Raw genomic sequence first — 25,383 nt, forward strand, 5'->3', positions numbered from 1 at the left:
GTTATTTGGGTGAGTGAATTTCAGCCTGAGAGAGGAATAGTAAGATACAGTGAAATGTGAATAGATCATGTGTTCTTTTAATTTGAATTATGTATTCTTTTCTCTATTTTCCAAACTCTGCAATTATCACGTTATTCTTATAACTCTTAAACAAAACATAAATCAATATCATACAAAAGAAAGCAAAGATTCAAGAGACTTTTACACAACTCTTAAGGGAAGATGCTGGGTCTCATATAAAATAATTTTTAGTCAAATGATACTGTAATTTCTAAGTTTGAAATTAGTTTATTAGCAATGTTACAATTTAACCATGACTATACAAGAACTCATACTAAAAAAAATTATGAATAGATTTTCCTGAAGAGAATTTTTATCCGAAGAAAAACGAGAGAGAATGTATAAATTGTCCAGAGAGCTTACGAGGTTTGAAGTACTTTGATTACTTGACTCATTCTTTAATAATTTTCACCTTGCCTTGCACCAAAACTGATTTAAGGGAAATGACTTAGACACAAAGAAGCAGATAAAATAAATGTAAGCATTAAGGAGCCGAAAGATGATAAGGGAAGGAAAATATTAATAAGATGAAGCAGGGTTCCAGTAGCATTGCTTGATGTGAGCCATATATTTTGTTTTCAGCCTCCTGGTTGTCACAGCAAAAAGGCAAACGTGAATCACATAGTGTAGACGAAGAATAAAACACTTCTTGTTCATGGGGTCCATCAAGTGGCTCACAATGTTTCAGTTGTGTCTGCCTCAAAATGTGGTTGTTGGCTCCTAGGATCCCAAAAGGCTTTTTCCTTCTTTCTCATCCTTACAGTGTATCTCCTGCTGGAGTTTACTGCGGCTGACATCTAAATCTGTGCCCCGGAAACAGACTTCTTAACTGATTCTTAAGTTTCCAGTGCCACCTGATTAATCTAAAACTATACTTAATACTAGTATGATAAACCTAATAGGTTCATATGTGGTTTGCACAAGAGTAGAATATATACCTAACCATAACATGTGACTTGTGTGTGTTTTTTGTTTTTGTTTTTTTTATGTAATGTTTTACTTAGGTTAAGTTGTTCTCATGGCCAGAAGAGAGAAATCTTTTTACTTTTTTTTTTTGAGATGGAGTCTTGCCCTGTCACGCAGGCTGGAGTGCAGTGGTGTGATCTCAGCTCACTGCAACCTCCGCCTCCCAGGTTCAAACCATTCTCCTGCCTCACTCTCCTGAGTAGCTGGAATTACAGGCATGTGCCACCACACCCTGCTAATTTTTGTATTTTTGGTAGAGATGGGGTTTTGCCATGTTGGCCAGGGTGGTCTCAAACTCATGACCTCAGGTGATCTGCCCACCTCGGCCTCCTTCTTTTTACTTTATAATTCCTTTGCCTTTGAGTTAATTTGCTTGAATAATTTAACTTTTTATCACTTACAAAAAACAAATCTTTAAAAAAAGACTAAGTTTGTGCCTGGTCCTGTGGTAAAACTAAGCACATGTAAAAGAAGCAAACAACTCATGTTAATATAAATACATGTATTAAAAAGATGCGGATACCTTAATTTCTCTCTTGAGGTCTAGTTCACTCAGTTAACTATGCTTCAGAAACTTTAAAGCAATAGAGATTCATGGACTCCATTTTAGACCTACTAAATCAGAATCTTCATACCACTTTTGACTTCATGTTTTTTTTTTTAATCAAACCTCCATTGGGGATAATGTATAATCAGCCAAGATAGAAAATTATTATACTATCATAGTAATAAGGATGGTTAACCAAGTTGTACACAGTATGGAATAGGGACTGTATCTGTTTTATTCATCATTCTCTCCCTCCTTCTAGTACCTGACACATAGTAGGTACTCAGTATATATTGTTAAATGAGTCCTGTTTTCTTAATTGCCTTGTTTTCCAGAGTAAGCCTTCTTTTTGAACACACAAAGCTATTGTACCATTTCCTTTTCCTGGAACAAAGTGTTGCATTGCTCAAGGAAACTGCTCTGTGGCTAGCCTCCCCTTTCATTTACTGTTACCTTCAGGAAAACAGGCATGACAGAGGCCCATAGTACACTCTGAGAAATATGGGATCTCTGTCTTCTTGCACTCCCTTGGAGCTAATGGTGTGATGTGAGCCGAGAACAGTTGGGGCTTTAGTATTAGACATATAGTACTTGGCTTAGAATTGGGCTTTGTTACTTACTATTTCCTTTTAGTTTTCCCTGAATTTCCATGTTCACTTTGTAAAATGGGCATTTTAATTTCCATTATTAAATATTAAAAATACCCTTGCTTTAGTTCTTAACACTTTAATATAATGGTAACCCTTATGACTTGAATATTCTTGTCTCTCTCATCTTTAGGACTCCTGTTATTATAGGATCACCTCTCATCTGAGATAGCTGCCTCTCAAAGTAGGCATCTCTCTACTCTCCATCTGGCAGCCTTTTCCCTTCCCTTCATGCTCCATTCCCCTCACCCCAGCTCCCTACATTTCTTCTTTAAGCCAGAAGTGGCTTCCTTTGCTTAAACCCGTCTTATATTTTGAAAGCTAAACCCTGCATTCCTGGACCACTGTCTCTGAAAGTTGCTTCCAGGCTCTTTTTTTTCTTTTGAGACGGAATTTCACTCTTGTTGCCCAGGCCGGAGTGCAATGGCGTGACCTCAGCTCACTGCAACCTCTGCCTCCCAGGTTCAAGCGATTCTTCTGCCTCAGCCTCCCGAGTAGCTAGGATTACAGGCGCACACCACCATGCTTGGCTAACTTTTTGCATTTTTAGTAGAGATGGCGTTTCACCATGTTGGCCAGGCTTGTTTTGAACTCCTGACCTCAGGTGATTCACCCACCTCGGCCTCCCAAAGTGCTGGGATGACAAGCGTGAGCCACTGCGTCTGGCAAATTTTTTTGTATTCTTAGTAAAGGCGGGGTTTTGCCATGTTGGCCAGGCTGGCCTTGACTCCTGGTCTCCAACTCCTGGCCTCAGCCTCCCAAAGTGTTGGGATTACAGGCGTGAGCCACTGTGCCTGGACACTTCCAGGCTCTTTTAAGAAAGGTTGCCACTGGGTAGAAACGTACAGATACCTTGGGGTCCTCTCTGGTGGAATTGGTACCAGATCTCACACATCTCCTCGTCACCTCGTCCTAGGGCACTTCCAGCTCTGAGTGAGAAAGAACTCTGGTGCACAGCCTCTTGGGACTTCCTTTCTCATGGTCCCTGGTGTCTCCTCATACGTTTCTTAGGATTTTCTTTGCTCCCTCTGAACCTTAAGAGACTGCCCAGAAGGGCCACCTTATGGTTTAAGATGTGTGATTATTCATTTTCCTCTCCAGTGCATCCTCTCTTGTGACTACAGTTAAATAGATCTCAACATTTTAATTCCTTCCTTGAGAACCTTTGTGGTGCTCCCCACTGTCTAGAGAATAAAGTCTAAACTGCATGATATGACACATACTCACCTCTTGTGGCCCTTCACATTTCCCCACCAGACATGCGGTGTTCTGCCCCATTTTGTGAATATGCCTCATTCCCCTTTTTTGGCCTGTCCTTCCAGTTCCTCTGCCTAGCAAACTCCAACTCAGGCCTTCAAGAGCCAGCTCAGTTATCACCTCCTCTGTGAAGCCTGCCTGTCTCTCCAACATATTATGATGGCAGATAAGTTAAGGGAAAATATTTCAAGAGTTTTTGCCTTCCTTTTCTCTTCCTCTCCCAGCATTTCATTTTAGAACAGTGCTTGGGCATCCAGTCCACAGATGTTCAAGGACAGGAATGGAAAAATTTGTTCTTGTGTACGGAGTATTATGCAAGAGCTGGGCCTTGAGCCTGTTCTGTGGCCAAAACCCAGTTAAAATAGTCACATTGCCTTTCACTGCAGAAGCTAAAGAAGTTTCTGTTGCTCTTCATTGAGTGAGAAGGAAGCTTCATTTCTTCCATTTTATTCTTGATAAAAAAACCAAAGCACACAATATTTTAAGGAAGTTATTGAGTGGGATACAGTGAGTCAGGATCCAGTTTTCTAACTGAAATCCTTCAATTTTCAGCCAGTTATAGCCCCTCAGAAAGCAGTTAGGTTATCTGCTAATATTGTTATAGAAATAATTAGGTGAATTTAGAGTAAAAAACAAAAGCTTTGATGAGGATCCACTGTTTAATTTTAAAAGACCTAAGTAGTCTCAATAATATGTATGTGTGTGTGTTTGTGTGTATATGTGGGCAGATGGTGAAGGGAGAGGAAATCAAGAGTGTAAAGTCACAATTTCCAAACTTTTTTTTTTTTTTGAGACAGAATCTGGCTCTGTCGCCCAGGCTGGAGTGCGGTGGCGCAATTTCGGCTCACTGAGACCTCCACCTCCCAGGTTATAAGCAATTCTCCTGGGATTACAGGCACCTGCCACCATGCCTGGCTAATTTTTGTATTTTTAGTGGAGATGGGGTTTCGCCATGATGGCCAGGCTGGTCTTGAACTCCTGACCTCAGGTGATCCACCCACTTCAGCCTTCCAAAGTGCTGGGATTACAGGTGTGAGCCACTGCGCCTGGCCTCCAAACACTTTTTTATGTATAAAAATTTGCTGTGTGCAGTTGACATTGTTGACTTTCACTTTGTTCCTGGGGCTTACCCTAAGAGTGAGGATGTCTTTTTCATATATGACTTTTACATTTTAAAAACAGAATGGAATTGTAAGATTTTAAATAATCGGCGTTCTGGACTGTGTGACATAGAACATGTCATTTCACTAAGCCGTGGTTTCCCTTTCAGTAAAATGAACAGGTGAGTTACAGTCAGTGATTTTCAAAATCTTATCAATGAGCACATTGCCTCTCTTTTCAGGCAATCTTGTGTGGATTACCAGTTTTAAATACAGTATCCCTTCACCCCTACCACATCACACGCATTCATACACACACACACACACACACACACACACACACACACACACGCACTCTGAAAGCAGACAGCACTAGAACTCCAGTGGTTTGAGTGGAGGACCTGGGTCCTTGTCACCCTCCACAAGGCTTTCCCAGGGATCCAGCCCTCACCTGGGTCCTGGCTACTCATGGGCTCAGACCAGCAGTATCAGTACCATCTAGAAGCTTGTGAGACATGTACCCTTATGACCTGCCCCAGACCTACTGAATACAGGCTGTGTAGGTGGGGCCCACCAATCTATGTTTCATCAGGCACTCCAGGTAATAATAAGCCACAGTAGCATTTGAGAACTGCTGGCTCTTTGAGTGCCAAGCAATTTTTAACCAAGATTTTAAATGGCAGGGGTGGGAAAGCGGCGGGTGGGAGGCATTCAGTTGGAACACTTGGTTTAAGTTGAAGTATGTTCCTTGTACTATCTGTATCATGATAAATATATACTAGTGATGGAAGAGTTCCTTTTGTGTGACTAACATATAGGTAGCAGCTTATGTGAACTCTTCTAGAAGTCATACTGCCATATGGGAAAAATTGGGACAAAGTGGCAAGAATTCCAAATACGGAAGAAAATGAACGTACAGCATACTCTTGGCATTTGACCTTTGGAATTGTTAACAATCCAAAGACTCAGTTGCATTTTAGATCACATTCCACGACATAGACTCACAGGTTCTGGTTATGATACCGAAAGCCAGTGATGAGGGCATTATTCTTGTGCATTTGTCTTTCAGAGTTCGCAGATTGCTTTCTGACTCCAGCAGTGTTCCTTATTACCGGTTCTTTGTATTCTAATTCTTTCTCAGGTGGTCCTCCCTGGCATTTTTTCTCTTACTATTCTTATATTTTGTGATCATTGCTCAGAAACCAGAATCAGACTACAGCTTTACTTCCCCCAAAGCAGCAAGAAAGTGTATTCACAATAACAGTAATTATTCATAATGAGAAGTCACAGCGCACCAAGGTTTGGGATGGCGTTTTTTCCCTCTGGGGGTCTGAGACTGTGGATATTTTTGGGTCCTTGGAGTCTATCCTTTTGCTGAATGGCTTGGGCTCTGGGAGGGCATAGCAGCATCCACCTGCGCAGGGCTGACAGTGGTTTCCTTTGTCTGGAATGACGTGCTTAATGTTAATAAGGTCTGGAATGTTGGGAGTCAAGACAGATTTTCTTTTGGAATCTCTTTGGTCTTGGCTCCCTGTAACAGATAATGCTTGTGCTTTTCTGTTTTCTGATTAAAGTAGGATATTTAGTAGGGCTTTTGCACTTCACAAGTGGCAGATTTCCTCTTTCTCTTGTAAGCTTTTTCTGTCTTGTGAGCACATATCCTAGGCATGCTCAGACGAGGTGTTTTGGAAGGCTGGAGTTGGCAGGGTTCTTCTTTTCCCCCAGAGTATCTGCTTCCCTTACTGCATTTGAACACTGTACTGTTTCTAGATACATTTTTAATATTGCTTTATCTCTCAAGTCTATAGGTGATGATGAATCCTGTGTTTTTTCACCTGTCTATAGCTGCATATAAATTCTGAGTATTGCAAAAATATCAAGAAAACATGAGAAAAGTTAAAAGTGAGCTCAGGTCAGTGGAATTCATCCATCTGGCTGCCAATTACAGTCTGAAAAGTAAAAATAGTCCAAACAAGCCCAAATAACTTTTATTTTTTCAAAGGACAGTGGGGACCCCTGGATTAGAATGCAAGAGACATGAGGCATTCTTCTTGGCAGGAAACTGGACAATTAACATCGCCACTTCCATTTCAAGCGTAGGCTGCCAGATCTCTCTGCTTAGTTATAGAGGCCTCTGAGTGACTCTAGTTAGGGGCCGAGCGCACTTGAACGCCTTGCAACTGTCTATGTGTGGGATGGAGATAGTTCTGGGGACAGAAGCCTGTTTCATAAGGAGCATGCTGCTCATTAACATGCGCTTTCTGACTTGGGCCTTATCCTGCAGGCCCAAGGCTGGAGAAATCAAACTGTGAATAACTACTTTTCTGTAAGACCCCTTTATGATGATTTTTTTCCCTCTTACTGGGATGTTGATTTTACTAGTGCAAAGGCAAATTTACAGCTCAACAAAGAGGAAACCATGGTGGCCCAAATTGTTAATTAGTAGAGTATATAATTGTCTTTATTAAGTTACATCACTTATCCTATCTTTTGCCTTTTGCCCTTTCCCCCTCGTATTTTTGTTGCAATCTGGAATGTTTTAAAGATGTTTACTACATGATTCTTTCAACAGGCAAAATGAGATATTTTTGTCATGTCAAGTTAAGAAGTCTTAACCCATTAAATCATACTTGAAGCTTCACATTTTTCACTTGCATATAAAGACAAAAAGCATGCAAAAATAATTCGTTGAGTTTTCTTTTGAAATGAATGTTCACCAGAAGTTTGAGGTCAGAATTTTGATTAGTTTTTACCATATGTAGTACTGAACTCTGTAAACCCATGTTATTTTCTCTGCCTTTTTGCTTTCTTGGGAACTGATCATGACAGCATTTAGATGACATCAGAACCCATGTTGGTAAAATAAATGTCATCCCAAAGAACCCTTTAAACAGCAGGTATAAGTGATGATATGGTTTGTTTCTGGTATATTTGTAACCTTCAATTTTATTGATTTGAAACTTCTATATGTTATTTCTTTCATTTAGCTAAGTTGAATTCTGAATTTAACTGGGTTAGAGATCGTCATCACAAAAGTGCCATACTCAGAAGCATATTTAAAATATGTACTAGTTGGGACCTTGCAGATCTTGGTTTAGTCTCAATTCAGCCACTTGGGAACTATGTGCCCTTGGGCATGATAGTTCATCTTTCAAGGCTTCATTTCTTTCTTGTATGTAGAAAATAGGGGTAATTAATGGCATCTCTTTCAGAGGACTATCATCAGCTCTTAGTACAATTTCAGACACTAAGTGCTTTAAAAATGTAGTGGTATTGGTGAAGAAAGACCATGAGATTTTTTCCTTGTGAGAACTGCTTTCTGTGGGCCATTTTATTATAACCTCAGCTTGTGAGCATGCCCATCAGAATGCTGTTGGGCAAGGCGTCCTGCAGGCTGGGTCAGTGTTAAGTAATAGTGAATGCCAAGGACTTGAGATAGGGGAGAGTTCAGAGGGGCATCCACTCCCCAAAAAAGGTTCTCGGACTATTGCCAACCCACAAACAACCTGCTGAATTCTGGGCAAGAATAAAATGCAGTCCTCTCTCCGTGCTTTTTCCCTGTCACCTCTCTGGTTGAATTCTCTGTGTGAGCCCACAGAATGGGGTCTGACAGGCCTGCTTGATTCTGTTTGAACCCACTCAGCAAATTAACCACTCTAAGTTACTTTGCTAAAAGGGGGAGATTTCAGGGGACATTAGCTGGAGGCGATGGGCAAACAACAACTTCTCTATATTTATTTTTCTCCCACCCACATTCCTTGCATTAGGGCAATTAGTTAAGCTAGATGGATAAACTAACTGGGTAACCCACTAAATTTCCAAGTCTTTCACAACCTTTCCTTACACCTGGCAACTTGTACACCATGTCTTCCGCATTCTGTGGGCTGCATAGACCTGCCCTGCTACATTGCGGAAGGGGTCAGCACTAGGTTTAAGTAGATCATGGGGGTGGCGAGGCATCATGGAGGCTGACTACCAGGTATGTCGAGGTGGAAACCATTTCTGTTAATACCTTATCTGAAAGAGTCTCAGCATTTGTGATGGAATTTTGGCAAATTTCCTGCTGCTATGTCAACATCGATTTTGTCATTGCTTCTCCTTCTGTGGAATGGAGCTCTAGGATCTTTACATAAACTGCAGTGTCAAGAGGCAGGGTGTTGAACTTCTGGTTTTGTATGATCAGTATTGTAATGTGATAATTATAGTCTATACTACAAATATGTTCATTATTCTTCATGCTTTCTGCCATGGTCAGCTGTGGCTTTTATTTTAAATTTAATTTGCTCAACCAGACACACAGTGTAGCAGACGCTATTACCGTATTTCAGTTTTTGGTGCTGTAGTGAGACTTTGAAATTCTAGGAATTGAGTAGATAACACAAGTGTGATGTGGGAAAGGTCCCTGGGAAACAACAGTGATTCTATTAGGCTGGTGCACAAATAATTGTGGGTTTTGCCATTACTGTTGTACCCACATAATAGCTCAGTGCATGCAATTTACAAAGTAATAAGTGAAATGCTCCCCATAGTTGACTATAACATTTCCTCATTTTTCTCTGAATTTGCTTTTTAAAAAACTCTTCCCCTTGCCATTCCCTTCCCCATTCCAGATTGTAACTGCTTCTTTCCAGCTGCATCAGAAGAAGGGGACTTTCCATGTAGGTGTTATTCTCAGAAAAGGCCAGAAAAGACCAGGTCATGGTGGGGATGATTTGCTCCAAGCATAAAAGAGAATTGTGATGGTTCAGGAAGACTGGAAAATAACGAGACTGGAAAGAAATGAGAAGGGCTTCAGAGGAATGGCACATTGAAATAAAAGGAAGTGGTAAGAACAGGAAAACAAGTGGAATGAAAGGAGCACACAGTGGGCAGGGATGATTGGATAGACTGTGGAATAAAGATAATTTGGGAAAAAAATGGGCAGAAAATAAGAGAGGTTTCATGGTTCCATTATTGTATATTCTATTCCTCCTACTAGGTTAACATTTCCCAGAGGGGTTGGGTGGAGACGGGGAAAGCCTTTTTGCCCTGTTGTGGTCCATGTGCCCTTCTGCTGGCAGATCCACTTGGAACAAATCTCCATGTGAATACATCTCCTACTCTTTTCCTATTTGGAGTTTCCTGATGCTTTTGTCTACCTCTTGTGCTGGATTAGAGCATCCACTGCCAGCATGCATTAATGTGATAAACAAAATAAAAGTGAAGTCTTAAGTAGAACTTTGCAAGGAGTAGCAGTACACTATACGGAGGTATTAGGTTTTTTTGAATATGACTTGAAGTTGTTAAAATGATATTTTAGAGTTTTGATGTGCTTAAAAACTGGAAATTGAGAATTTTTTTTTTTATTTTTTGTTTTAAGTTAAAAATTAAGCACAAGATGCCAGGCATGGGAGGATCACTTTGTGAGGCCAAGGCGAGAGGATTGCTTGAGCCCAGGAGTTCAAGACCAGCCTGGACAGCATAGCAAGACCCCATCTCTGACAAAAAAAATTAGCTGGATGTGGTGGGCATGCCTGTAATCCCAGCTACTTGGGAAGCTGAGATGGGAGCATTGTTTGAAGCCAGGAGGTCAAAACTGCAGTGAGTGTTGATCATGCCACTGCCCTTTCGCCTAGATGACAGAGTGAGACCGACTCAAAAAAAAAAAAAAAAAAAAAAAAAAAAGCACTAGAAAGTTGGGAGAGAGGGCAGCACTTTTCCTTTATTGCTGGGTTAGTATGCCTTTGTCAAAAGCAGCTTGTTTTAAATGAAGATGTCATGCTTATTTCAAGTCCTCTTAAAACCAAATTCACTCTCATATCCCCTTGGTATGTAATAAAAAGCAATATATATAAATATATATATATATATATGGCATTTCTGTGAAATAATCAACTCTTGCTTTCTAGACTTATTAGAATTACCTCATGAAAGCAACATGAGGAAGTGAGTGGGAAGAACTAGGTCTACAACAGTTAAAAATTTTTTTTCATAAATGCATTTATTACTGCTTCTCTTAATTCACATGGTGAACTTCCATTGACCTTTTTTCCTTTTTATTTGAAAAGACACAAATTATTGTATGGAACAGTACGATCTTTCAAACCAGGAGGGATGGAGAAACTGCCATATTTTAGGTTCACTGAGTTCCTCAAAACTATTTAAGTGTCTTGCCAAGCACATTTTTAAAAAATTCATATTTAGTCTTTCAGGAAGATTTATCTTTTGTTGGAATGTTGCTCCAAGGAACTCTGTAATATACCAGCATCTCTTGAAAGCTTTGTTAAAAATGATGTGTTACTTAAGTGAAAAATGGTTATGGGTGCCTTAATTATTCAGCTATCAAGTGTTTTTTTTTTTTTTTTTTTTTTTTTGACACACTGACAGCATTCGTATTATTTACTACTTACACTATCATCCATGGGAAGATGGCTCCAATGTACTTGTAGACAGTTTTCAATTTGAAAACTATATCTTCATTTCATTGAAGAATTTCATGTCTGGGAAGTACTATTCCCTATAGAGTTTAATCTCTGGGTATAGTGGTCTCAACATCATCTACAACATTACGCATGAGGACTGTTTAGAGTAAGTTAGGTAAGTTGCTATTGCATTAGCATTCCTCTGAAGAAAGATGATCTTTTAGGTAGTAAACATACATGCATCATAGAATCAGTAGGATTTCCTGATCTGCCTGACTCTGCAGTGCTTCCATGCCTGTTTTCTGTGTCATTTCTTCATTTTCTTTTCTTTTATGGGTTGGGGGAGAGACAGGGTCTTGCTCTGTTACCCAGGCTGGAGTGCAGTGGCGCTATCACAGCTCACTGCAGCCTCAACCTCCTTGGCTCAAACAATCCTCCTGTCTCAGACTTCTGAGCAGCTGGAACTACAGACATGTGCCACCCCACCTGGCTAATTCTTTTTATTTATTTTATTTTTTGTAGATACAGGGTCTCACTTTGTTGCCCAGGTGGTCTCGAACTCCTTGGGCTCAAGTGATTCTCCCGCCTCGGCCTACCAAAGGGCTGAGATTACAGGCGTGAGTCACCACGCCCAGCCCTGCATCATTTCTTTTAAATAATGTCAAGGACAGCAGGTTCTATGGCCCTGCTACCCATAGTTGGAATGAGAGATACAGTAATCATCTAAATCTTAGCCTTTATAGTTAAGATTTCAGAACTTGGTTTTCTGAACTGAATAATCTGTGGGATGTTTGTACCCAGAAATTAGGATTCTCATTCATCTCTTTTTCTTCTATTTTATATGTTTGTTTCTTGCATTTTTAGATTCTATGAATTCTCTACCCCTCTCTCCTGTTCTGTATATCTGGCTTCCAAGACTTGCCATATTTATCATCAGTAATACTATAAATGGACTTTTAAAATTCAACACTTTCATTCATTCATGTACTGCTGAGGTATTTTTTATTTTATTTTGCATTTTGAACTGGGTAAGGAAATAGAAAATGATAACGATACATGAGAAGGATGTTTTTAATACTAGATTGTTGTCATAGCTGTCAACCTATTTACTTTTGAAGAAGAAAGTTTCAATAATTGCTCTTATTTTAAGACTATGTTACAAGCTCATTGAGTGCATCCAAGGAAAAGGAAGCATTTCAGATAAGCTAACTGCCCTTCTTTAATAAGGGTGCATGGTCCAGTTGCTAGATTGTCCTTGTCATCTTATTTCCATTTCCTTCCTTTTGTCCATTTTTATCTTTAATGATCTCAGTAGGAGGTAAACAACCTCGATAAGAGGATAAGGGAGAATATATCCAAGTGCGGCTTGTCAATAGCTCTGATAAACATTTGGTGTGTGTGGAAAACCTGAAACTTAAAATGATTCTCAGAAATTATCTCTAGGGTTCATTTGTAATATTGGGTAGATTACTATTTCTGTAGGTGGGAAACTACTATTTCTATAGATCAAAAATAGTTGAAATTTTACATGCTTCAACTTAATATTCCACACATCAATATGAAAGATAATTAATAGGTATCTATACAAAGTATATCTCTACTCTGTGTCTCAGCTGTTGGTATGCTAGAATTTGTTTTGTTTTTACTTTCAGTGTCAAAATACAGTAAAATGTTTAGGGAGAGAAAACAGTGAACATCAAAGAACTCAGGTAATGTGTCCACTGCTAGGATGTTTTTTGCAAATAGATATTAAAAATGATATTTTCAGGGGAGCAGTAGATCAATAATCTGTTTAAGGCAGGAGATACTGGATTTTATAAAGATATGAAGGAATAAAATGAGTGCCCAAGATGTTTACTTGAAATGGTGGCTAGAGTCCTATTGATTAATGCTGGTGACTGAGACTTCAACATTGAAAATAAACCATCCCCAGACAATTGGTAATTATAGGTGACAATTATGTTATTATACTTTATTTAGGTAGTAGTTTTGTTCCTGGAAAATTACTTTTATTCAAGAGAAAAATTTGAAGCATTTGAGAACTGAATGTTTTGTGGGAACTCTTGTGTATAATTTTTCAGTTTTATTCAATTTCATAAGTCTTCAGGGAATGTTTTCAGGCCTAGATTTACGGACACTGTACATAGTACCTACTACCAAAAGAACATTCTACCACCAGGCTTATTAGAAAGCATATTGTCTGTTTTCCTGCTGCCTTGTTGTGAGCAGATGTTCCCTCAGCATTTCTGAATTATTTTAATGCACAAGATGGGAAGAACAATAAGTTAAAAGAAAAAGATAGGGATGAATTTTTTGACTAGGTAACTGCATTTGAGTGGGGATAAATGTCAGTATTCTCAATCTTTTTTATCCCTCTGCTCAATTTGAGGTAATACCATGTGGTGACCTAGTCTGTCATCAGACCCTAAAAATTCAGTAACAAGCCTCAGTTCTGTATTAATAGGAGAATGGATTAAAAATAAATTTGTAATAAACTCTAGCACAGTCTTGCCACTTGAGCTCAGTTCCTTTGATTTGGCCCAATTTTCTTCACTGTTTTTCTTTTCATATTGTAATGACTACTGTCCACAGAGAAGGTTAACACAATGGAGGCATACTTCTGATGGGCTCTGTGTTTGTTTCCTGTGACTAACAAATCAGCACACACAAAGCTGGTGCTTCTTTTTTTTCCCCCATAGAGATGGGGTCTTGCCGTATTGCCTAGACTGGCCTCTAACTCCTGGGTTCACAGCATTCTGCCACCTCAGTTTCCTGAGTAGTTGGGACTATAGGCATACACCGCCGTGCCTGGCAAAGCCAGTGATTTAAAACAACAGAAATTTATTCTATCACAGTTCTGGAGAGAATGTAGAGCTCAGAAGCCCAACATCATTGTTGCCCAGGTGAAATCAAGGTATTGGTAGGCCCGAGCTCCCTCCGGAGGCTCTAGGAAAATATCTGTTCCTCGCCTCTTCCAGCCTCAGGTGGATGCTGGCACTCTTTTGCTTGTAGCCACATCACTCCAGCTTCAAGACCAGCATCTTCAAATCTCTCTGCTCTTTTCTTCCCCTCTGTTTGTGTTAAGTCTTCCTCTGTCTCTGCCTTATAAGAATACATGTGATCTCATTTAGGTCCCATCTGGATAACTCAGGATAATCTGCCATCTCAGAATCCTTAACCTAATCATATCTCCAAAGACTATTCCTTGCAGGGTAACATTCACAACCACCACAGTCTCCTTCCAGCATCTGTGTTCTAGAAACCTGGCTGAGCCAGCCCATTTGGCTGCATCCTAGGTCTGATTGATACACCCTCACCTTCCACAACATCTACTACCTACTATCCGCTATATGCTTTTTAGTGAGCTGCAGTTAATTTCATCCAAAGGTACAATAGCAGCAGCAAGTATCTGTCTCTACTAACACAGGCCAAGAATCATTTAGCAGAGCTACCTCCTCTCTTTAGAGAAGCAGTTTACGTAGGGAAATCTACACACACACTTTTTTTTTTTTTTTGAACAGGGTCTCACTCTGTCACCCAGACTGGAGTGCAGTGGTGTGATCTTGGCTCACTGCAGCCTCGACCTCCCTGGCTCAAGCAATCCTCCCACCTCAGCCTCCCAAGTAGCTGGGACTGTGGGCATGTGCCACCATGCCTGGCTAATTTTTGTATTTTTTGTAGAGACAGGGTTTCACCATGTTGCCCAGGCTGGTCTTGAACTCCTGAGCTCAAAGGGTCCTCCTGCCTCAGTTTCCCAAAGTGCTGGGATTACAGGTGTGAGCCACCATGCCCAGCCTATGCACAGTAAATTAAGCTAGTTTAAGCAGTTCATAAAGCTGAATGCTATAACAACTGTGCTGGAAATAGAAGTGAGTTGTGCTGTGGACGTGCATGTGTATTCACATGTAAAATGGCGGCTGTGTATTTTCAGGGCATATTTAATAGTTAAATATCAGAATCTGTATAATTCCTTTTAAATGATGACCGGAGCTCATGGCATTTCCCAAGAAGAAGTGAAATGAACCTATCTGATTTGGAACATATATTTTCTTTAAAAAGTAAGTAAGATTGTTTTCAGGGAGCATGAGATAAGATTTACAAAGTTTAAAAGTAATCTTTAATGAATCTTATGTCCCGTAAATGTTAAATAGCCCTCAGGGAAATTACATAAAGCTGGTACTCATTGGATATTACACTAAATAGCTAATGTTATAATAGATTGATTAGAGGTGTCTTTTCTCTGATGGCTGTCATGTAGGCAGAGTCTAATAATTAATTTAATTTTGAAGAAGATTTCTGTGGACCCTGAGGTGTCATATGCCAAGTGGGTGACAAATTCTAAAGCCCTGTTATCTGCCTTGTGTTTTTAATAATTATTGCCCATTGTAATAAACTTGTATCTTAGATTTCTTTTTTCACCCTTCAGTGGGTGTTTTGCCTAAATTGAAAAGACATAGAAGATTTTAACTACATATGAAGTACTATTTTAAGTCATTTGAGATTTTTCTCTCCTCCAGAATTTTTTAATCCTGTCATACTTGGCGGAAAATAATGTATACATCAAAGTCAAGCATACTTAATTATATAGTTTAAACATCAGTGCATCATTAGTTAAATGAACAAATTAGTTAAAACTCTGTATTTGCTGTGGGTTTCAAAAATTACCTGGACAGTAATTAGAGTTACAAAGAGTTCTAAAACAAAAGTTGATGAGAATAATGAAGTTGAACTACAAAGCCCTGATTGTATAAATAGGGCAAGAAGAAATAATACCAAGAAGTGGGGGAAAAAGTGTTTTGGCCAGACCTGAGAACTCAGCTGGATCATGTGGTATCAGCCAAGATAATATGTGACAGAGAACGGCAGATACAAATACCATGACACTCTGTACATGGGAATAGAGAAATCAGGGATAAAAAATACAAGTCATGTAGATCACAGCTCTCCGTGTAGCCAGGCTCAAGTTAAGGTAGTTCAGTTGTATAATCAACTTTCGTGGTATTGCTAGGACCTTAATAGAGGAGAGGCAAAGCTGAGGGGAGATCACATTATGTTACCTCTCTGGAATAGTTTCTCCAATCTTTCCATGCATTTAAAAAATTGGATCTGTCTAATTCAAGCCATTTAGTTCTACCCATGCTCATGATCCTTTGGTTTTAGCTACTTATGTGATTTTTCCATACAAATATCAGTCACTTGCAGCATATACCATGCCCTGCCAGTTCCTTTTGGAATCAATTTAAATGAGAAAAATAAAGGACTTTGGGAAAAACTATTTAAGTGTGTCTGTTAAATTGTTTTACTATTTGAGAATAGTTCTGGAGTCTGAAATACATTTTCCATTTAATAGTATTTGGCTTTTTTTTGTTTGTTTGAGCCATAGCATTCGTGGAAATATGTTGAAATCTTAAGTGGAGAGAATATGACTTACTGCTTTTGGTATTACTTGCTGTCTAGAACGTTACAGTCTCCACTATAGTATGTTCCTGGTCAGCAGCATTAGAAACAAGGACAACTTCAGACTACAAAGAAATGTGCATATTGTGATTCACAACTTTCTTCCTATTTTAAAATCTCCATATTTTTTTTTCTTTCCTTTCCTTTTCCTTTTTCTTTCCTTTCCTAGGCTCTCTCTGTCATCCAGGCTGATATGCAGTCGCATGATCATAGCTCACTGCAGCCTCAAACACTGCATCTCAAGTGATCCTCCTACCTCAGCCTCCTGAATAGCTGGGACCACAGGCATGTGCCACCATGGCTGGCTAATTAAAAAAAATTTTTTTTTTTTTTTTGGTAGAGATGGTCTTGCTATGTTGCCCAGGCTGGTTTTGAACTCCTGGCCTCAAGTGATCCCCTTGTCTTGGCCTCCCAATGTACTGGGATTACACCTATGAGCTACTGCCCCCAGCCTATTCTGGATTCTTCAGATTGTAGAGCCAACTGTACTACAAATCTGTGTGGTTTTTTTGTTTGTTGTTTTGTTTTGTTTTGTTTTGTTTTTTGGAGAGAGGGTCTCACTCTGTCGCCCAGGCTGGAGTGCAGTGGCACAGTCTCGACTCACTGCAACCTCCACCTCTCGGGTTCAAGCGGTTATCCTGCCTCAGCCTCCCAAGTAGCTGGGACTACAAGTGCGTGCCACCATGCCTGGCTAATTTTTTTTGATATTTTTAGTAGAGACAGGGTTTCACAGTGTTAGCCAGGATGGTCTCGATCTCCTGACCTCGTGATCCGCCCACCTCAGCCTCCCAAAGTGCTGGGATTACAGGCGTGAGCCACCGCACGCGGCCTAAATCTGTGCTTTTTTATAGGACATTTCATCAAATACATATTCTTAGTCACTTGAGTGGCAACTCTTCCTAGATATTAATACTGTATACAAAAAGTTAGGTCTAGAAAATGACATCAATTATTGTGAGACAAGTAACACATTTCTGTATATCCAAAACATATTTCATTAAATTTGACTGTTTTCCTAAATTTCCAATGTTATTGTAGTGCTTGTTTTGTAATATTGTGCTTGCGTGTGCACATGTGCACTTACATAGAGCTTAAATGGGTAAAATAGAGTGTTACTCTCTTTGCTGGTCTCACTGCTTTAGCTGTTGTTCCCTTAAAATTCGTTCTCTGCACAGCAGCTGGGTGAAGTTTTTATTAAAACCCCCATGTTTTCCTTTCGAACTTAGCATACAGTGCAAACTCTACTATGGCTGCTGCCTGATGCGCCTTCTTCCAGCCCTGCTCCAGTTCTCTGTGCCCTTGCCACACAGCATACTTTCTCCAATTCTCTAACATGTGGGGCCCATTCTGCCCTAGTGCCTTTGCCCTCTCTATTCTCTCTCTTGGAAAGTTCTTTTATACTTTGTATAGTAGAATCCTCCCAATCCTTCCTGGCATAGCCCAAATGCTTCAGGGTCAGAGAGACCTTCTTGGACTACTTCATCACATCACGCTTCTCTACATATTCTTCATGACACCCACCACTAGCTGACTCTATTGTGTTTGTTTGTGTACATTTTCTATATTCTCCTGCAAGAGTTCACCCTTGACTATATTGGAAACAGATTGGAGTTGGCAGAAGATAACATGCAGAGCTCACTCAAGGGGACTTCCAGACATCTTTTATAGATAATACGAATTGCTAAATTTGCTTTTCATCTAAAAAATTTCATTTTATAAGACTTGGGTTAAAATACAGAATTCCATTGCAGTTGGAAAGAGTTACCAGATAGTTCATTATGTGTGCTTGAATGCCAGTCTTGCACAGCATGTAGCACAGTCAGTATGAAACCCTTTTTTGAGGAACTGAAATGCCAGGTAAGAATTCTATGGTAAGCCTATTTCAGCCCCACAAATGAAGGCCTTTCCTATAAATGTGGTCTTGTATTTCCTTCCAGCCAGATGAATGCAAGAAACTGTCATCGTTGCTCTCTCCATTTTTGTTTAGTAAGAACGAGCCTCTTTAGGTGTTTGTAGAGTTATTTTGGCAGTCTAGTATTATTTCCACTATCATTAGCTTTTACCCTTAGGTAGAACCTGGACTTTGTGTTTTCACCTATCCAATTTTCATTACATTTCATGTAATTCATAGAAATTAAAATTTCACTCAGATACTCTTGACTGCATAGCAACAGACCTATTTTGGAGTATTAAAACAAGGTTTTAATATAGAAACTGTTTCAACCTTTTGTTTTAAACTATTGATTTCCTACATAGTTTGGGAATTTTTTTAGATACCAGCTCTCTTCAGTAGTTCCGATTTCTTAGGACTTTTATAAAAAACATCTTGAAAAAATGGTATCATAACTTTAATATTACTCAGCACATTTTTTGTTGTTGTTGTTCAGAATGGTTTATGCGCTCTTATTCTGATGAAAAAGAAGATGAAAACATTCTTTTCTAATTGTTGGGAAATGTTGTGGAACCTGACTTTTTGACCGCTTTTGCCAATGCTAGGGCCTGTTGACCTACTCATTCCCACTTGGCTCTGCCAGCTGGGGCTGCCTTAACTGGTCTCCATGCTCCTATGAGAGAGTTCTTAGGTAAACGTCAAGTCTGCATCAGAAAGCCGTGCAGACGTGGAGAGCCATCTTTTTCCAAACGTTCAGTGCAAGGCAGAGCAACAGGCTCTGCTTTGAGAATTATTGCTGGAGACACCATCCACGCATGCAAGCATTCTGTACCGGGTAGTACACTGACAATTTGGAACAAGGATAGACACTGCCATCTTGGTTCAGAAGGCCTCCTAATAATGGCATTCTAGAAGAGAAAACCTGGATTATGTAGCCTAAGATATGGTCTTGTTCTGGTAGAACATGTGTGAATAGGAAACACATCGTAGCCCTTGCTGATACTGTTACTAGGGTCTAGATCACCGTTGGGCTTAAGCAGAGATGGGTAATTTTTGCTTTTTCTTAATATTCCAGCAGTCTAAACTAAAAATATGGAGAGATTATAAACCTGTGTTTGCCTGAAAACAAGATTGTCACCAATCTCAAAAGTCAGAAATAAATCATTTTTTCTCATACTCTGTATAATAGCTATAAGAGAGTGGGGACTGGAAAGGTATTTTGGAGTTTAAAAGTAGTAAAACACAGAACCATGAGTCCTGCTTGCAACTTTAATAAAATTTGGGTATTGTCTGTGTAGAACACCTTTTCTGTTCCTGGGTTAGGCTATAAGGACCTCCCGTTATGAAACCAAGCCAGAAACTGCCCTAAGATTAAATACCTTAAGGAAAAGTAACCTTTGTGGCAGTGGGGAACAGTCACAGCTCTGAGACCACATCTCTGGTCAGTGACCAGAGATATCTGAGAGCTGATGGGCTGTAGTGGGGAGAAGGACTGGCTGCTACAGGAAATAAACCTTATTTCAGACCCACCTGGAAATGATCTTACTTAATATGTTGCTTTTTACATGTTTTAGGGAATTTTTAGATTCACATTTCAGGAGACTATTCTGTATTTGAGCCTTTGGGTTTTGCTGAAGAGCATAGAACCCTAAAAACCGAATATGATGATCTTAGAACTTCCTTAATTTCTTTCTTTCCACTCTTAGTCTCTTTTCTCATTTCCTTTCACTGCTCTGAAAATTAACACCTGCTAGGGAAATCAACTTTAGGCTGCTTTCATTGGAAGCCAGTGTCTAAAAATCAATCCTGGCAACTAGTGTAAAATGAAATTTGGAAGATGTCTTGATTCTCATGGACTTGTGCAAGCTGAAGTTATTAAAGAGGATTAGGAACCACAGCTGGTGAGCAGATGGAATGCTTATAATTTCACAATCTGAGGTAGCTGTAAACTCAAATCTGCACAAAACTTCTTTGCTTTTTCTCTAGTTTATTTCACTTTATCTTCCTGGACTGTAACTCTGGGCAAGTACGATCGTTTAATTGTTGGAGATGATGAGCCTTAATAGGTTCCTCATTTAGATGGCATCATTTAAAATTCTAGTTGTACAATTTCATACTCAGAATTTCATTTCAGAAACCAACTATTTAATAATGGACTTATTAACAGCACAATAAGTAGGAAATGGTTTTACCTTTCGTTCAAAATGTAGAAATATATTTTAAATTTGAACAATGAAGACTGGTTCACAGTAATTGCAACTAGACAATATAACTACTTGCTTCTTAAAGAAATGCTTGATTCCATCAGTTTCTTCAGCTTTTTCTGTGTTCATTTCTACTAGAAATTCCTGTGTCATAGAAAAAAAGTCCCCTAAAGCCACCTTCTTCATTGGCTCTGTTACCTAATCACAGGCTCCCTGCTCCCTGTATATTCCCCGCACCCATGACTACTTCTCTGTTCATTCTATCTGATCATAATATAGGGGCCTTATACATGCACAGAGCAACTGTTTGCCCCCTCAGAAACATAAGCCTAGACCACATTTTCTGGGTAGATTAGTGTTTTCTCCACAAAGGAAGGTGTTTGTGAGACTTTCATCCAGTGGCTGCTAGGAAGGTCAAATTAGGAACTTTTGTCTACAGATACAAAGACATTAACTTACACTTTATGTTAGTGGTTGTTACTTTATTTAACAATGGAATTAGTGTCCACTCTACAGTTTAGCACCTCTTTATCCTTACTGAAAGACTTTAGAGAAATGGCTGCTAAGGTGGAGTTTCTTCAAATACAGAAAAACATCTGGAGCCGTAAATAAGTTGAGCAGCCCGGATACATTCTGTACTAGCTGGTTGGGAAGAAAACAACACAGGGATATTTCAGGTGGTGCCGCACAACAAACAGCGGTAGTTTATGGTCTGAGATAGTCTCTGTTCTTTTGGAACCGGTGTGTGCTTCTTCTCTAAAGCCACAGTCAGCAGCAAAAAATACTGTAACATGTCTTTTGGAAGCAATTACTGCATGATCCTCAGTGTTCTAGCCTCAGAACATCCTGAGTGTTCCATTTCTATACGTGCGGGAGAAGAGGACATATTACCGATGCTTTGGCATGAAGTAATCTGGAGAATTATTATAGGATATGGTCTTTCTTGACCAGCTTTTGAAATGGCTTTCAGTAGCTTCTCTTTGGATTTCCAAACTGACCTTCTGTAATTGGATATGGCCTCTTACAGAAGCAGTAGTATAAACATGTTTAAACTTCTAATGTAATTATTTTATCCTGAACCAAGTAGTCTAGCAGTCTCTTCCAGCGGATAGATTTGTTTATCTTAAGTAGAGTTGATCTCCCCGCCTTACCCTTGTTACCTTTGGACACAGGAGATGGCAGGAGAAGAGGTTTTGGATGGCCCCCAAGAAGAAGTAGACTTGGACCGAAAATCAGAAGACAAGAAGACCTGAGGATTTGATACTGGGTTCTTTTAGATTTTCCTGTGCGATCTTGACCAGATTCATAAAATCTCTGATTTGCTGAATCTATATCTAGTAAATGGGTATAATAATATCTAATATGTATTTGCATATGTTTGGTATGTGTATTGGTATGTGATGACTGACATAACAAAGTAGCACAAACTAGGTAGCTTACACAACACAATTTTATCTTCTCACAGCTCTAGATGCTAGAAGTCAGACTGCAGTGTTGGCAGGGTTGGTCCTTCAGGGCCATGAGGGAAGGATCTATTCTAGGCCTCTGTCTTTGACTTGTAGATGGCCATTTTCTCCCTCTGTCTTCACATCATCTTCCCTGTGTGTGTCTGCATCCGAATTTCCTCCTCTTCTAAGGACACCTGTCATATTAAATTAGGGCCCACCCTGATGAGCTCTTTTTAACTTAATTACCTCTTTAAAGGCCCTATCTCCAAATATAGTCAAATTCTGAGGCACTGGGGGGCCAATCCAGATTTTTTTGGTCATCCATTTTTTTTCTTTTCTGTTGTCTTATCTATTATATTTTCCTCTTGTGTGTTTTTATTTCTCACCCAGATTAGTCCATGACCTAAATGGCCGCTTTTGCTCACAACTGCCTCTTGGGCTCAATAAGCTCACTGTTGTCTAGGGTTTATACACCTCAGCTGTTAGGAGTTGGAGATCAGATGAATGTGGTTTATCGTCTGTAGAGTGAAATATGGCTACTAAGTGGTGCCATTACAGAGCCAATTTGGGGTGTAAATCTAGTATTTCAGCTCTTGGACTTTTTAAACTGCATCTTTAAATAGAACACTAGTTTCATTCTGAGGGGGGGAAATATACATGCAGAAGACATTAAGGCCTATGATGAATGTCATGTTTTGAACAACAAGGGCAGCTCATTTGGACAACAGAAATCCATCTGCAGGGCTTAAGAGAATCCTTTATTTTATACAGAAACCGAATAAGTTCCAAATAATATAAATGTTATTAAAGACTTAGAATGAGATAGCAATAGTGCATAGCTTTGGCCTAGAGTAGGTAGGCTTGAAAACAATTCAGGACTTCTTTTACATTGACCCTGGATTTGTGGATGTCTGTTCTATCATAATATGTTTTAGAGAATAAAATGGAAAAGCTTGTAATACCAGAGAGCTTCTATTCCTCAGAGTGGTTGCAATTCTGGAGAACAACCTCTTGCAAGTAGCATTTTCCGTATAGACATTTCTTGCCTGCTGGCCCAATCTTAACTTTTCATTTTAGTTCATTTCTCAGTTCAGTGCATTTAGAAGACAGTGCATTTTTCTTTTCTGGACTAGGGCAGATGGTGCTGTCACTTTTGATTATCTGGTTTTTTTTTTAAAGGGAAGTGTTGATTAGGGAGAGCAAGAAATGAAATACCACCAGATTAAATTGAGAGCAGAAATTATACAATCCCAAAAGAGGCAAATCTGTTCTATGTTTTTCTGCTTAGTTTACTATAGTTTATGTTTGACTTTCTAGATTTCAAGTTGGATATATTTTAAAAGATCATTTTAAGATAGCTTTTGGGTTATGAGTTTGCTTTGTTTCTGCTTTCTGGAAGATATAGAAGATAGAAATGTTTAGATGGTTTTCTTTTTCTAGTCACATTTAAGTAAGAAGATCCTTGGGTAAGAGTAGCTTTTAACAAATCCAAAATGTTTGGATAATTTCTACTTTATGCCACTGAAATCTCTCACTTGCAGTCTAGTGGCACTTTGTGTCTTGTTACTGTTTGGCCATCTAATCTTAAATTAGAATATTTAACAGGTGTTCCAAACCAGAAGTCACAAGGAAGTGGACAAAGAGGCCCAGAAGATAGCTTGAAGAGCCTCCTGCTGGCTACATTTAGGGCAAATTTAGTGTCCAAAAAATAATGATGGTGGTGGAGTGTAGCAGATTTTAACACATTGAATTAAAATAAAAAGAATCTGGGTTCAAGATACTTTGAAAAGTGGGAGGGAGAACTAATAAACATAGAAGGAATAACAGAATTAGAAAAATCACCATCTGGAAACTACCTGTAATATAATGATACATGCTAGAGATCATCAGTATTTACTATAACTGTCAGGTAAAAGGGCATAATGTGCTTTGACAATGGAGAAAGGTTTTACACACAATACCTTGAGCAAGTGACCAAACTGAGCATCACCTAATAGTTCAAACAGCAGTGTGCATGTTCTCATGTCATACGATGGGAAGTATATCTGTAAACAATTCTTCCCCAAAATTCTTAGCCTGTATCTAATTACGAGGAAATAGCATCACACTACAGATAGTGATATATTCTATAAGAAAACTGGCCTGACTGCTCCAAAAATGTCAACTTTATAAAAAGTATAAGGGATTTCTGTTCTAGATTAAGAGAGACTAGTAAAAACCTGACAACTAATGCATACTTGGTCCTCGATTGGATCCTGAATTAGGAGAAAAAAAATTAAAGATGTTATTGGAACAATTGACAAAATTTAACATGGATTTTAATCTCAAATTTATTCGATTAATGTTAAATCTGATTGTAGTAATGTGTTTTTGTTTATGTAGGAGAAGCTCCTTGTTCTCAGGAAAGAAATGCTGAAGTTTTGGGGGTGAAATGTCATGAGATCAATAACTTTCTTTCAAATGGTTGTGAAAAAACGTGTGTGTGTGTATATATAAGTAGAGATCAAATGTGAGCATGCAAATGTAGCAAAATGTTAATAAGTTGACCAATCTAGGTGTTTTTCTATAGCAATCTAGGTGTTTTGCTATAATTATAGCAGCCTGAGCTATAATTGGGTGGCTTAAGCAACAAACATTTATTTCTTACAGTTCTGAAGGCTGGGAAGTCCAAGATCAGGGTGCCAGCATATTTGGTGTCTGGTGAGGTCTGTCTTCCTGATTTATAGATGGCACGTTTGTGCTATGTCCTTGTGTGGCTGAGAGAAGAAAGCGAGCTCTCTCAGTACCCTTATAAGGACATCAGTCCCATCTATGAGGGCTTTATCCTCATGACCTCATCTCATTCTAATTACCTTCTAATGCCATCACTTTAGCGCGTAGGGTTTTAAGATACACGAATTTTGGGAGGGCACCAAGCATTTAGTCCCTAACAGTGTTCATAGTACTGCTCCAGCTTTTCTATAGATTAAAAATGTTTTAAAATATGTATTTTTTACAAATCGAGCAATTTCACATAAAATTTTGCATTTCTAGATTCTCTAGAAAAGTGGGAGTGTCTGCCTTACACCCATGATACACCAAGAATAACTGATTGGCTGCATAGCAGCTGCCCCCCTCAGATAGGGTGAGGTTTTTTCCATTTTCCATAGTCCTTACCCTTCCCTTTTGTTTTATATACCCACTTTCTTTACTCATTGATATTACCTGCCTAGTGGCTATAGGCATTTTAGTATGTACCCACACATGTAACACTTGCTGATTTCTTGGGGTGGTAGTAGGTTGTGTCATGGATGGTAATGACTTTTTCATATGCTGGAACTCTTGAGCCCTCTGGATTTGATACCCATATCAGGTGATGAGCTTCACTTGGCTCCTTGGCCACAGGCTGAGTATCTAGCCTTATTC

General features: G+C 39.2%; 1 protein-coding gene across 11 annotated transcripts in view, besides 1 other annotated feature; it reads left to right on the forward strand.

The window, feature by feature from the left end:
- FNDC3B (fibronectin type III domain containing 3B) overlaps positions 1 to 25,383 on the forward strand; it is a 362,092-nt gene that overhangs the window by 213,104 nt on the left and 123,605 nt on the right. The gene's annotated exons all lie outside the window — the stretch shown is intronic.
- Positions 3,427 to 3,622: a silencer, noted in NCBI's record as "fragment chr3:171973898-171974093 (GRCh37/hg19 assembly coordinates)". NCBI's record gives its function as "represses an EF-1alpha promoter that drives an FKBP-Casp9 reporter gene in an ReSE screen in phorbol 12-myristate 13-acetate-treated (for megakaryocytic differentiation) K562 erythroleukemia cells {active_cell/tissue: K562(+PMA)}" and the evidence as "EXISTENCE:reporter gene assay evidence [ECO:0000049][PMID:32094911]".

The sequence above is a fragment of the Homo sapiens genome, chromosome 3, assembly GCF_000001405.40.
Source record: "Homo sapiens chromosome 3, GRCh38.p14 Primary Assembly".
Lineage (NCBI taxonomy): Eukaryota > Metazoa > Chordata > Mammalia > Primates > Hominidae > Homo > Homo sapiens.